Raw genomic sequence first — 15,598 nt, forward strand, 5'->3', positions numbered from 1 at the left:
CAATGCAGGACACTGTATGCAGATTTATTCTAAAGCAGACCAATTTACATATTGTTTTTAGTTTATTCAGACTTTCTCTTTGTATTGCTGTTAAGAACTGCTTTAGTGTTTAAGAAAGTGTTCAAACATTTAGATATGTAAGGCAATTTCAGCCTAAAATGAATTTTAAAAGAATTCTGAGAAAGCTTAATTTCTTCATCAGTGACATAATTCTCACTAAGAGTGAAATATACATTTCCTCTCCTACAACTCTGAAGCTGCACCTTTAAAGAAAGAAAGGTATAATAGCAGTTTTAGCAAATGATCAGGATGAATCTAGCACCTAATAGAGAAATGGATGAGCAAATCTTTTATGTCAGTGGTCCCCAACCTTTTTGGCACCAGGCACTGGTTTTGTGGAAGACCATTTGTCCACGGCTCGGGGAGGGAGTGGGGGGATGGTTTCGGAATGAAACTGTTCCACCTCAGATCATCAGGCATTAGTTAGATTCTCATAAGGAGCGCGCAACCTAGATCCCTCACTTGCACAGTTCACAGGAGGGTTCTTGCTACCATGAGAATCTAATGCTCCCCACTCCCCACTCTGTTGATCAGGCAGGAGGCAGAGCGAGGGAAGTAAAGGACCACTTCAAGGAGAACTACAAATCACTGCTCAAGGAAATCAGAGAGGACACAAACAAATGGAAAAACACTCCATGCTCATGGATTGGAAGAATCAATATCGTGAAATTGGCCATACTGCCCAAAGCAATTTACAGATTCAATGCTATTCCCATTAAACTGCCGTTGACATTCTTCATAGAATTAGAAAAAACTCTTAAAATTCATATGGAACCAACAAAAAGCCCATATAGCCAAGACAATCTTAAGCAAAAAGAACACAGCTGGAGGCATCACATTACCTGACTTCAAACTATACTACAGGGCTACAGTAACCAAAATAGCATGGTACTGTTACAAAAACAGACACATAGACCAATGGAACAGAATAGAGAACTCAGAAATAAGTCCGTGCAACTACAGCCATCTGATCTTTGACAAACCTGACAAAAACAAGCAATGGGGAAAGGATTCCCTATTTAATAAATGGTGCTGGGAGAACTGGCTAGCCATATGCAGAAAACTGAAACTGGACCCCTTCCTTACACCTTATGCAAAAATTAACTCAAGATGGATTAAAGACTTAAATGAAAAACCCAAAACTATAAAAACCCTAGAAAAAAATCTAGGCAATACCATTCAGGACATAAGCATGGGCAAAGATTTCATGATGAAGATGACAAAAGCAATTGCAACCAAAGCAAAAATTGACAAATGGGATCTGATTAAACTAAAGGGCTTCTGCACAGGAAAAGAAACTATCATCAGAGCAAACAGACATTCTACAGAAAGGGAGAAAATTTTTGCAATCTATCCATCTGACAAAGGTCTAATATTCAGAGTCAACAAGAAACTAAAACAAATTTACAAGAAAAAACAACCCCATTAAAAAAGTGGGCAAGGGACATGAACAGACACTTCTCAAAAGAAGACATTTATATGGCTAATAAACTTATGAAAAAAAGCTCAACATCACTGATCATCAGAGAAATGCAAATCAAAACCACAATGAGATACCATCTCACACCAGTCCAAATGGCAATTATTTAAAAGTCATGAAACAACAGATGCTGGCAAGGCTGTGGAGCGAGAGGAATGCTTTTACATTGTTGGTGGGAATGTATATTAGTTCAACCATTGTGTAGCTGGGACTACAGGCGTCCACTACCACGCCCGGCTAATTTTTTTGTATTTTTAGTAGAGACAGGGTTTCACCATGTTAGCCAGGATGGTCTCGATCTCCTGACCTCATGATCCACCCGCCTCAGCTTCCCAAAGTGCTGGGATTACAGGCATGAGCCACCGCGCCCAGCCAAGGAAATATCTTTATAGATGTCTTCTTGTGTACCTGTGTAAGAATTCCTTTGGGATATACAGTCATGCAACACATAATGACGTTCTAGTTAGTGGCAAACCACATATATGATGGCAGTCTCATAAGATCATAATGGAGCTAGAAAATTCCTATCACCTGGTGACATCATCACATGTTTGTGATGATGCTGATGTAAACCACTATGCTACCAGTTGTGTAAAACAGTAGCACATAAAATTATATACCGTAATGATAATGACTATGTTACTGATTTACATAGTTACTGTACTATACTTTTTATTGTTACTTGAGTGTATTCCTTCTGCTTATAGTAAAAGCAGTAAAACAGCCCCAGGCAGGTCCTTCAGGAGGTATTCCAGAAGAAGGCATTGCTGTCATAGGACATGACAGCTCCATGCTTGTTATTACCTCTGAAGACCTTGCAGTGAGACAAGATGTGGAGGTGAAGACAGTGATATTGATGATCCTGACCCTGTGTAGGCCTAGGCTGTGTGTGTGTGTGTGTGTGTGTGTGTGTGTGTGTGTGTGTGTGTGTGTGTGTGTCTTAATTTTTAACAGTTTTTTTTAAAAAAGTTTTTATAATTAAAGGTTATGGAATCAGGATAGAAAGAAAGTCTTTTTGTACAACTTTACAATAGGTTTGTGTTTTAAGCGAAGTGTTATAAAAGAGTCAAGTTTTAAACATTTAGAAGTTTACTCACACCTGTAATCCCAGCACTTTGGGAACCCGAGGCAGGTGGATCACCTGAGGTCGGGAGTTCAAGACTAGCCTGGCCAACAAGTTGAAACCTTGTCTCTTCTAAAAATACAAATATTAGCTGGGCGTGGTGGCAGGTGCCTCTATTCCCATCTACTTGGGAGGCTGAGGCAGGAGAATAGCTTGAACCTGGGAGGCGGATGTTGCTTGCACTCCAGCCTGGGTGACAGAGTGAGACTCCATCTCAAAAAAAAAAAAAAATTTATAAGTTTAGAGTAAAAAAGTTACAGTAAGCTAAGGTTAATTTATTATTGATGAAAGTTTTTTAATAAATTTAGTGTAGCCTAAGTGTACAGTGTTTATTAAAGTCTACAGTAGTGTACAGTGGTGTCCTAGGCCTTCACATTCACTCACCCTCACTCACTGACTCACCCAGAGCAACTTCCAGTCCTGCAGACTCCATTCATGGTAAGTGCCCTGTAGAGGTATACTATTTTTTATCTTTTATACTGTATTTTTACCATACCTTTTCTATGTTTAGACACACAAATACTTAGCATTATGTTACAATTGCCAACAATATTCAGTACAGTAACATGCTGTACAGGTTTGTAGCCTAGGAGCAACAGGCCATACCATATAGCCTAGGTGGGTCATAGACTATATACTGTCTAGGTTTGTGTGAGTATGCTCTATGATGTTCCCATGACAAAAAAATTGCCTAAAGACACATCTCTCAGAACATATCCCCGTCAAGTGACACATAGTTGTATGTCCAAGAGTAGAACTGCTGAGTCATAGGGTTTGGTAACCTTAATTTGACCAGCCCCAAATTATACTACATAATAGATACTCCCCTCTAAACACCCACTGGCAATGCACAAGGGTGCCTGTTTCCTCTCATTCCTGTGAACACTTGGTATTATCCAGCTTTCTACTCTTTGCCAGTCAAATAGGTATATTTTAATTTGGTTTTGTCTGATTACAAAGGATTTTCACATGCCTGATATTTTCTGGGTTTCCTCATCTATTCATTGCCTGTTTATATCTTGTCTGTGTTTCTATTGGGATTACTATAGTGACTTGTTAATTCGCACTAGTTCTTATGTTCTAGATATAATCCCTTGTTGAATTTTAGACATTGCAGGTATGTTCTATTTTATTACATATTCATTGAACAGAAATTCCTGGTGTAATCAAATTAAGAAGTTTTTATCTTACGACCTATGCTCTTGAAGTCTGGTTTTTAAAAACCTTTCTTGTTACTTGGTCTCCATTTTCTTTTGTTAATTGTATAATTATGTTTTACATTTCAGCTTTATCCATCTGGAGTCCCTTACATGTGTTGTTTGGTGTGAGGATCTGGTTTTATTTTTCTCCAACAGTGTGTACTTAATCTGTTATTCTCCATTGATTTGTGATGTTACCTTTATCATATATTAAGTCCCCATATATTCATGAGAATGGCTTTGAACTCTATTCTGATACTTGTTTTTCCACAACCACTTGATTCTTTTAGAATGTATTTTCCATAGTGAAGACCCAGTTTCTTCTAAATCTCAAGGAACTAGTTTATGCATGTGTTATACCAGGATAGCCTTTTTGTGTGCATAACTGTTTAGGCATTTCAGCCCACAGTGATCCTGTCCTCCTTTGAACTCATAGTGTTCATTCTCTACTACACTCACCTCACTTCTCTTAAAATTTTCTATTAACTTGTATTCGTTTCCTGTGTTATTACTTAACTTTTCACATATTTATATGTTGTACTTCAACTAGATTATAAACTTCTAAAAGGCAAGGATTGCTTCCATGTCTTTAAATCTCCCATGGTAGCTGTAGCTAGCACAGGACTTAAAATCATTATCATAAGCATGATTTAGTGAGCAATTATTAAACTCTTTATTGATACTTTTGATGTGATGAATGCATGTCTTAACATAATTTTAAGCACATAAAGGCAATGACCGATTTTTGAAGGATATAGGACAAATATGCAGTTTCTACATGTACAAATTGAACATAGCCATACCCCCTGCATTTTTCTAATAACTAGACTTTGTCACATATTACTTCCTCTATTTCTTAAAAGGTTTTAGTTTACTAATTTTTTCGTTCCTTCTTTAGTAATTGCATTTTTTTTTTTAGGTTTCCTTAATAAACCCTGTGAAAAGCAATGTGCTAAATAAATTATATGCAGGGCAAAGCAATACATTATAATTAGGCATTCCATTATTGAATTGATGCCTCTGGCTTCTCATGGTCTCTGTCTAATCCTGAAACAAATTCTTTTTGTGGACAAATATTAGCCTATAATAATTATTCATCTAAGCTAACGCTTTTCATTAAATCTCCTTCTGATTAAGATAGCTCCATAAGTACAGACTGATTTAATTTAACATGATTTATCCACTTGTGTATCAAGGTCTGGTGGAAATTGTTTTTAACACCAGAGGATTGTGAATATTAAGATCATCTTTATATTAACAGATCTCTCAGGTATTTAAGACCTTGTTGTTTGAATAGTTATATAAGCCTAGGTCTGATGTCACTCTGCTAAATTCAAGAGTATCACAAGTGCTGTAACAGGCTGTCATTAAAAACAATATGGATTCTGTTTTATATTATAATGTTGGAGCTTAGAGTTAGTACATTCTTGTGTTACTTGGGTTTGGGAATCAATTTTCATTCCAGCTGGTTGGTCCAACACATTTAATGTCTTTTCTGTTTTACCAGAAGTTCAGTGTTATTAAAAACAAGTAAATCATAGATATATATTCTGAATTAAGGGTCTCCACGGACATGAATATAACTTTTTAAAAAATTTCTTGGACTTAACTGTTATTATTTCCTCACCTGTTACCATCCTTGTGCTTTTCTTCAGTTTTTTTAATGCTGGCTATGTAATAGATACCAAACACTGAGTTTAATTTTGTTTTTTTTTCACTTCTTCCTTGATCATCTTTCCCCCAATATTCCTCCCTTAATTTGTTAAATTCTGGCTTCACCACTGCTCTTCTACTTTTAGCTTTTTTTTTTTTTTCCTATCAGTAGTCAACAGACTCATTAGCATTTTTCTTCTGGCCTTTTTGTCCATTTTTTTTCTTTTTGGTCCTTTTATAGTCTTTCCTGCTTCATTATATATGCATGAGAAAGTTTGCATTGCTCTATGTGAACATGATAAAGCTACATGAATTAATTCTATGAAACCAAAGCATATATTCTAATTTGCTGCAACCAAAAATTCTTGAAAATAAACTATATAATGTCCTAATTATAATTTAGCTCCAGTTTTAGGAAATCCCAGAGAACAGAGAGTGTGTGTGTATACACTCACACTTTCAGTTGAGGGTGAAAGAGAGTGCCATGAAAGCAAAAGGAAAGGCATTCTAGCATGTGGAACTTTCTGAGGTCCCATTTCCAGCCGTATCCTCTTTATTTTCAGGTTTCTAAGAGTTGTTAACTGTTCTTTCTCTCTCCCCCTGACTCTGCTCTGCCCCATGTGTGCTGTTCTCAGAAGACAGTGGTGTGTATGGTAGGACCCTGAGTCAGTAGGCTGAAGACTTACAGAAAGAAGGTACCTTGGAGTCAGGACTGGAAGCTGAGGGATAACAGGCCAAGTCAGGCTGAGATTCTTAACTGGTCTGGGCTCTGGGCATAGCAGCAAAGAAGAGCTTACTTCATCTGGGTCAGCTGAGGGAAGTGGTTCATGAACCGCTTAGCAGACCACTTGAACTAATAGGAGGAGGATGACGCAGAACTCAAGTGAAGTACTGTGGTCATTTGCAGAAGAGTTTCTCCTGGGAGGAGGTCAGAGTAGAAATGGGCGTATCATGCCCATAAGGCAGCAATTACTGTTTTCAGAGCCGTGTCTGCACTGATGGAAATGCCAGCTCTGTGAAATTTTTTTCAAGCTGGTGGGACTCCCATGTGTCCTGTGGATAGAAAGAAAAAAAATAGCACAGTAGAAAATGAAGCTTTCTTTTCTGTGAGGAAAAGACTTTCTGTGAGGAGGTTGGTGGTTCTATTTAAAGACACAGTCTTGAGAGTTGATTAGGAAACAAGTACTTCTACAGTAATACCTTAATTAATGAAGAGGCTATATTCGGGAATGTTTAATGAAGTTTCTGTTGTTATCAGAGAGAAAATGAAGCAAGCACAGGGGATTGCATTCCAGAATGTCAGGAAAGAATTTCAGTTTAAAAACAACACTGTATGTTTAACATCGTCAAATATGCCATAACTAAAGAGTATTTATATCACGGTTTGAAGGGAGAGGGAGAGAGGAGCATATCAAACTAACATAAGCTCCTTAAACCTATAAAAGGCACCTATCATCATTGAAGAGGTCTCTAGCTTCCTGTCCTTGTGGCGCCCTGTGCCTATTCAGATGTTGGTCATTTAGTGCTGTTGACCTACTGTTAACACCACATACATGTGACCTTGACTTCCCAGTATATCCTCTGAAACATTATTATCTCAGCTTGCCTGACAACTCATGAAGAACCCCAGTGCTTTAACAATAATATAGTGATTGCACAGATTGCAAGTAGCAGAACTACAGAGTATCTAAGGCTTGGCAAAGAATGTCTCATGTCCAGAACAGAAGCACAAATTCCTGTCTGCCTTCTCTGCTATGGTCTGAGGGATCATTAATCACAATTACTTTCCAGCGACAGTCTCTCATAATGCACCTTTCTACTGCAGGCTGTTAGGGAAGGCTCTATTCTTAGGCTCTCTGCCAAGAAGTACCCCAGAGACAGAAGCTCAGCTCAGTTTCCCCTTTTCTGCTTATTCAATTTATATATTTCCTGAGCTCACTGAAGCAGCACAGGAATACACCAATGAATAAAATAAACAAAAATTTAGACAATAAGTACGTAAAATTTATAGTATGTCAGATGATGGGGCTTACAGAGAAAATAAATCAAGGAAGAGGGAAGACTGAAGTAGGGTAGTCAGGGCTCCCCTGAAAAGAGGAATTTGGGGGAAGAGGATCCCTAGTAGAAGGAACAATAACGTGCCTGAGATGAGAATGTGCCTAGTGTGTTCAAAGAAGAACAAGAGATGCAGTGTGGCTAGACCAGATCAAGTCACATGAGCAGTAGCAGAGAATGAGGGCAGAAAGGTAAATGTTTGCCAGATAGGCCACCATGGGAGTTTGGTGTTCTCTCTGAGATGGGCAGCCACTGGGGAGAAGGGGTGAAGGGGGAGGGGTTATAAGATTGTGACTGACATTATTAAAGGATTACTCTGGCTGTAATGTTAAGAAAAATCTGTAGGTCGGGCAGGTGGGCAAACAGAGAAACCAATTAGAAAGTTATTTGTAATAATGCAGGAAAGAGAAGTGGAGAGTGAGGTAAAATTAGTGAGGTTGCAAAAAATGGCTGGATTCTAGATACATTTTAAGGTGGAAGTGTAGGGGTGGGTTGCCCCTACACACCTGTGGGTGTTTCTCGTAAGGTGGGACGAGAGATTTGGAAAAGAAAAAGACACAGAGACAAAGTATAGAGAAAGAAATAAGGGGAACCGGGGAACCAGCGTTCAGCATATGGAGGATCCCGCCAGCCTCTGAGTTCCCCTAGTATTTATTCATCATCTGTGGGTGTTTCTCGAAGAGGGGGATGTGTCAGGGTCACAAGACAATTGTGGGGAGAGGGTCAGCAGACAAACATGTGAACAAAGGTCTTTGCATCATAGACAATGTAAAGGATTAAGTGCTGTGCTTTTAGATATGCATACACATAAACATCTCAATGCTTTACAAAGCAGTATTGCTGCCCACAGGTCCCACCTCCAGCCCTAAGGCGGTTTTTCCCTATCTCAGTAGATGGAGCATACAATCGGGTTTTATACCGAGACATTCCATTGCCCAGGGACGGGCAGGAGACAGATGCCTTCCTCTTGTCTCAACTGCAAGAGGCATTCCTTCCTCTTTTACTAATCCTCCTCAGCACAGACCCTTTACGGGTGTCGGGCTGGGGGACGGTCAGGTCTTTCCCTTCCCACGAGGCCATATTTCAGACTATCACATGGGGAGAAACCTTGGACAATACCTGGCTTTCCTAGGCAGAGGTCCCTGCGGCCTTCCGCAGTTTTTGTGTCCCTGGGTACTTGAGATTAGGGAGTGGTGATGACTCTTAAGGAGCATGCTGCCTTCAAGCATCTGTTTAACAAAGCACATCTTGCACCGCCCTTAATCCATTTAACTCTGAGTTGACACAGCACACGTTTCAGAGAGCACGGGGTTGGGGGTAAGGTTATAGATTAACAGAATCTCAAGGCAGAAGAATTTTTCTTAGTACATAACAAAATGGAGTCTCCTATGTCTACTTCTTTCTACACAGACACAGTAACAATCTGATCTCTCTTGCTTTTCCCCACATGGAAGCAATAGGATTTTTTGATGGGTCGGGTGTGGAGTATAAGAAAATGAGAGGGAACTAGTGTGACTGCAAGGTTCTTGGCCTCAACTGAAGGAAAGGCAGTTTTGCCTTTTAACTGCAACAAAGACTGTGGTAAGTACAGGTTTTGGGGGAAAGGCCAAAAAGCAGTTCCATTTAAGCCATGTTAAGTTTGAGCTACTTATTAGATATCCATAGGGAGTTATGAAATTAGTAAATATGTGAGTCTAGAAAGGAGAGAGGCAGGAGATACACATTTGGTAGGCATGACCACATATGATATTTAAAGCTGCAAGACTGAAAGAGATCACCTAAGGAATGAGTGTGGATGGAGAAGAGTAAGATCCCAGCCTAGTTAATAGTAGGCAGTACAATATTAGGGATCGGAGAACCAGGCCATCCACAAAGAAGACTTCAGAGTGGCCTGTGAAGTTGGGGAAAAGCCAAGAGAGTAAGGTGACCAGGAAGCCAAGAGGGAGGGAGGCATTGGATTTGGTACATAAAGGTCACCGAGGACAGTTCTGGTGGAATGATGAGGGCAGAAGCTTCATTGGCATGGGTTCGAGAGAGAAATGAAAGAGGATTGAAGACAGTGAGTATAGACAGCTCAGGAAGTTTAGCTGTGTAAGTGAACACAGAGATGAGTGGTCACTAGAAGGAGAGGTGAGCCAAGAGGGAATGATGGGAGAAGTTATAATATGTTGATGGTCAAGATAGAATGACTGATTAAAGGGGAATTGCTGGGGCTCTGTTCCTGAGTAGGCAAGAGCAGGTGAGATAGAAGACATAGGTGGAGGGATTGGCCCTAAATACATGCGTGGACAGATCCTCCTTATGAAAAAAAGAAGGCAAAGTGTATGAACTCACACAGTAGTAGGAGAGTATATAGGGTGGTACGAGTTGTGCAAATTTCTTTTGATTGATTTTCTCAGTGAAATAGGATGAGAATGAAGGATAGTGAGGAAGTTATTGGAAGTTTTTGAGAAAAGCAAAGTCATGAAGTCCTCAAATCCAAGCAACTGGGACACAGAATGGACTAAGGAAATATGTATGTTGAGCAGTACTAAGGAGCTGCTTTTGGCCAGTGATCAGGAATTTACCAAGGACTCCCACTAGCCTTCATTCCCTGCCGAAAAACTTAAATACTTCCACCAAAACTTGTGCCTAATAGGCTCAAATAAGTTTCTGGGAGAAAAGAGACACCACATATCAAAAAGTCTTTCTCCATAAGACTTATGTAAATGTGTAAAGTGAAAGGAAATAAAGCCTTAGGAACTGGGCATTCAAATCTAGTTTGGCTTATGCACTTTGAGTCTGTGGTAAGGAATTTATCTGGGAAAGGTACATTATATACTGCAAAAAACACATCAAGAGTACTAAATCAGATTACTTGCCGGTTACGTCTTCAGACTGATTGAATGATCAAGACTTATGACATCTATTCACATTGGAGTATAATCAGTGAATTGATCAGCTTGTGTAAGGGATTGAAATGAGACCCTTCCCTACCTTGGAAATGGGTAGAGGGCACTAGACAGAGGGAGAGTTGTGGTCTCCACTGAGTTAGTCTTCACAGTTTACCCAGGCCAGTTTCATCTATAAGAACTGTGCATGTGTAATTAGAAGCTACTCAAAGGTGATTTTGACACAAGCTGTCACACCATGTGCACAGCTGATAGGGAATGTTGCTGTTGAATTGCAATGGTAAGTGAACGGTTTTTTTGTTGTTGTATTTTGGTTGCTGGTGGAGGGAGTACTTAGCAGGAGAAAGTTGAAATGGATGTTTAAACCAGTTTCCAAATGTGTTGAGTTTCTGAATCATAGTATTGATTAAAAGCAAAAATACATCCTTCAAATCTGAATCAAACAGATTAGATGCCATACTGTCATTGTAATATTTGCTCTGAGTTTTACAGGAGGAATTGAAGGGTGCAAGAGTGTGTGTATGTGTTTGTTTTGTTTGATACACCTAAGCCCTGCTACTACTGTAGTAATCTAATAAATTAGAGCTATATGCTTCTAAAATATTGATTGCAAGACACATTGTCACTTTTCTTCTAATATTTTTATTGTTTTCTCTGTGAATTCTAATTGAACTATTTGTAACTGCTTCAGAAATATGTTGATGTAACCTTTTTCCTTTCTAGATAGTAGCAAGAAAACATGGTAGTTATTATTTGTGACCCTGAAGGAAATTAACGTCCTAGAAATTTTTAAATGTCAGCTTGCACTTAAAGTGATCCCTTAATTAGGGAATTATATCTTGCATTAACCAGGAAAGGAAAAAGGATGCAAAATAACAATGAAAAGCTTGTCGGATATGTTAATGCTTATTTGAATGAATAGGAAAAGATCCTGTTTCAAATAAAATGCTAATACCAAAAAAAAAAAATTGAAATCATACATGTGAATAAATTTGTTTCAAACTCTAAATAATGTTTTCTAACATTTTGGTTTGACAAGAATCCACGCAGCCTTTTAGAAAGCTCTGTTTAGACTATAGCACATATTACAGATTTGTGATATCACTTAAATTTTTTTAGGGGAAATATTTGAGACGCCTTAAAAAAACAGCTTTTAGAGGTAGAATTTACTTGCTGTAAAATGTACTCATTTTAAGTGTACAGTTAGATGTGTTTTATTAAATGTATAGAGCCACATATCTACCCACAGTCAAAATATGAAACATGTCCATCACCCCCAAAGGTTTTCTATGTACCTCTGCAGTCAGGCCCCTTCCCTGAACGTTGGTCCCTGGAACCCACTGATGTGCTTTCTGTCACCATAGTTTTGCCTTTTCTAGATTTTCATATAAATGGAATTATATAGTATGTGGTCATCTGTGTCTGGTTTAAGTTAGAATAATGCTGTTAAGTTTCATCCATATTGCTGCATGAATCTGTAGTTTATTCCTTTTTATTGCTGATTGGTATTGCATTGTGTGGAATATGCCACAATTTCTTTAACCATTCATGGACTGATAGACACCTGCGTTATTTACAATTTTAGGATACTATGTATAAAATTGCTACAGACATTTTTGTATTAATACAAGAATTTGTATGGGCATATATTTTCTTGGGCACATACCTATGCTGTCATTCTCTGGTTTTCCAGAGTGTGTAGACTGTTTTACATGTCCATTAGTATTATTTGAGGGTTCCAGTTGTTCACCATCCTGACCAAAACCTGATATTGTTAGCCTTTTTAACCTAGCCATTCTAGTAAATGTATATTAGAATCTTATTGTGGTTTTGGTTTATGTTTCCCTAATAGTAACTAAAGTGTTAATTTAAGCATCTTTTCCTGGGCTTATTTGTCTTTCATATACCTTCACTGGTGATATGTTAATTCCAATTTTTTATCCAATTTAAAACATTGGGTTGCTTTATTATGGGCTTGCAAGAATGTTTTATATATCTTAGATACAAGTTATTTATAATATATTTGGTTTGCAAACATTATCTTCCAATCTGTGGCTTGCATTTTTATTTCCTTAATACTGTCTTATGAAGAGTAGATGTGTTTAATTTTGACAAAGTACAGTTTTTCAGTTTATGATTTGTGCTCTTCAATGTCCTATGTAAGAAACTGTTGCCTAGTCCAGGTCACAAAGATTTTCTGTGTTCATCTGTTTCTAGACTCTGTTCTGTTTCATTGATCTGTATGTCTAACTCTCCTCCAGTACAATATTGTCTCGATTACTGAACCTTTATAGTAAGTCCTGAAATGAGCAGCTAATGCCAAGCCTCCATCTTTTTCTTTTTCAAAATTGTTTTCTTATTCTAGTTCCTTTGCACATCTATATAAAACTTAGAATCAGTTTGTTAATTTATACACAGAAGCAGACTAGTTTTTATTAGGATTACTTTGAATCTGTAGAGCATTTTAGAGAAATGTAATCTTAATAATATTGAATTTTCCAGTCTATGAACATAGTATATCTCCCATTTATATGGGTCTTTCTCTCAGTCATGTTTTATAGTTTGCATTCTTGCACATATTTTATAAAATTTACAAGTGTTTCATAACTTTGATATTGTAAATGGTGTTTTTAAAATTTCAGTGTTCCAAAGAAGGAAACAGCAGACACTGCGGTCTACTTGACAAGGGAGGGTGGGAGGAGGGAGAAGAGATAACTATTGGGTACTGGACTTAATAACTGGGTGATGAAATAATATGTACAACAAACCCTCATGACGTATGTTTACCTATGTAACAAACCTTCACATGTATACCCAAAGCTAAAAGTTAAAAAAAATAAAATTTCAGTGTTCAGTTATTCATTACTAGTATCCAGAAATAGATTTAATAATGAACTTGTATCCTGTAACCTTGCTAAATCTACTTACCAGTTCTAGTAGTTTTGTAGACCCCTAAGGATTCTCTACATCATAGTTTGTGAATAAAGAGTTTTACTTTTCCTTTTTAATCTGTATGCCCTTTTTTGTTTTTGCCTTATTGCAGTGATTAGAATCTCTAGTGCCAGGTGTCTGGTAACAAGTGCTATCATGTAGATGGTAACAAGTCTGGTAACAAGTGCTATAGTAGAGCTATATGGCTTCTTAATGTTATTTTAGACATGAGGAATTTAGAAGACCAAGAATAGTACACCTAATGACTTGGGTAATTTTTCAAACACATCTTCCTACGTAATCCCTGGTTGAGCATCTCTGCCCTAGTGAGCTGCTAGGAGTAGGAAAAAGGTTGAGAACCACTGGTTTTGATTATACATTAACCTTGTATCTTTATATACTACTTATAGACACTAGAACTAGATAAAAATTTCGCTAGTAATTACAGCCCTAGCTGAGTGAATACTGGTGTTGAAAAGATGGTAATATGAAACTTACTTCCCCACATGGCTCTAACACCAAAACCATAGCATTCTCTTTTGGATTCAGGCTCCAGACCACCAGATCTGCTTTCCAGCTCACCCTGGCATTAGTCAGTAAACCTCTATAAGGTATCTGCATTCCTTGCCACCTTCACTTTCCATCTTATCCCACCAATAAAGGTTTTTACAAATATGAAACTTTACAAGATATTCTAGTGCTAATAAAAAAGATACTTTACTCATGCACCTATTTTTAAAAGAATTTCTGGTTGTTTTCCTTGTGAATAAAGGATTGGGATTAACTGAAAAACTGGGCTGAATTAGAGGTCAGGAAGGCCACTATTCAACCCAGCCCAGGTAAATAACTTTGTCATTAATAAGCTGAGCATGCCAAATGCAGCAAGAATTCATTTTGAGTGGTAAACTTAGAAGCCACGAGGATCTTCAGGCAAAATTGCAGTATTGGCAGAGCTTATCTTTGCCTTCTTCCCTTTAAGTTTTTCCCCCCAATCCTTAGTCATTTCGTGTCCCAGAGTTATCCAGAATCATATCTAGCAAGATTTATCTCCCAGGTTCCAAAGTGGGAATAAACTATTTTCAATGCCCTAAACAAATCTCCTGCTATATGAGCACAAGTTATGGTAGTTAACTGTTATTACTGAGTAATTCACTCTGTCCTGTAAGTTAAAATTGTTGTTGCCTTAAATAAATTTTAAAATAATTTTAATAGGCAACATTCGTTGATCACTTACTAAGGATAATCTCAATTAATCCTCCCCAAGGTTATGTATGTTTCTCAGGGCCATACATCAGCAAGGAGTGGAATTAAGCAAAAAAACCTAGGGTTTTATCTGATTCCAGAACCCAGCTCTTGAATACAACTTCCCATGGTCCTCTCTGCTTAGAACTATCCCCATAACCCAGTATTTATTTCCCCAGTGTGGCCTTTCCAGCCCCTGTATGTGATCATCATCTCTTGGAGTGCTTGCTAAAATACAGTTTGCCTCATCCCAGCCGTGTGAACTAAGGGAGAGTCTTTGGGAATGAAGCCCAGAACTCTTCATTTTCAATTCCCCAAGTATTCTTAGGCTACTAGAGTTTGAGAACTACTGTCATATAGCCTCTCTTCCTCAACTAAGGAACAGATCTCTGTAGTTTGTAGTAACTGCTGTAAAATGGCAGCTCCATAGGAACCTATTTTCCATAGGAACCTGCAGTTCACCTGTTCAGACAGATTTAGAAAATTAGAAGTCTCCATTTTGCATATAGCTATTTATAATAGTTGGGTGATCATGCTTCCTTCTTCTCAAAATATGCCACTTTATAATTCAAAACTGCAATAAAACTTTAGAAGAAATTTCCTTCCTCAAAAATCAAGACTACGAAAAAAGCAATCCTTGTCATTAGATATTTCTTAATACTGTATTAGTTTTCTAGACTGCCATAAAATATTACCACAAACTTCGTGGCTTAAAACAATAAAAAATTCGTTTTCTTATAGTTCTGGAGACTAGAAATTCAAAATTAAGATGCTGACAGGTCCACAAACCCCTCCCATGGCTCTAGGGGAGAATCCTTCCTTGCCTTTTCCAGCTTCTAGCAACTCCTGGGATACTTTAGCTTGTCACTGCATAACTCCAACCTTTGCCTCTGTCTTCACCATATTTCTATATGTAAAGGCTTTTTTTGGATTTAGAAGACACCTGAATCCACGATGATCTCAT

The 15,598-nt window shown here is 38.0% G+C and overlaps 1 protein-coding gene across 10 annotated transcripts in view, besides 1 other annotated feature; it reads left to right on the plus strand.

The window, feature by feature from the left end:
- LCLAT1 (lysocardiolipin acyltransferase 1) overlaps positions 1 to 15,598 on the plus strand; it is a 196,980-nt gene that overhangs the window by 158,176 nt on the left and 23,206 nt on the right. Inside the window, exon 7 of one of the 10 annotated variants that reach the window (XM_047443869.1) lies at positions 595 to 13,469. The exons of the other annotated variants lie outside the window; for them this stretch is intronic. Within the exon in view, the coding sequence (XP_047299825.1) occupies positions 595 to 779 (185 nt within the window). The 3' untranslated portion in view covers positions 780 to 13,469. Of the gene's footprint in view, positions 1 to 594; positions 13,470 to 15,598 lie in introns of those variants that run through there. 10 annotated transcript variants of the gene reach the window in all.
- Positions 7,532 to 8,529: an enhancer, noted in NCBI's record as "OCT4-NANOG-H3K27ac hESC enhancer chr2:30835819-30836816 (GRCh37/hg19 assembly coordinates)". NCBI's record gives its function as "activates a minimal SCP1, AML or CMV promoter by ChIP-STARR-seq in naive H9 embryonic stem cells {active_cell/tissue: H9 hESC(naive)}" and the evidence as "EXISTENCE:reporter gene assay evidence [ECO:0000049][PMID:30033119]".

This window comes from Homo sapiens, chromosome 2 (assembly GCF_000001405.40).
Source record: "Homo sapiens chromosome 2, GRCh38.p14 Primary Assembly".
NCBI lineage: Eukaryota > Metazoa > Chordata > Mammalia > Primates > Hominidae > Homo > Homo sapiens.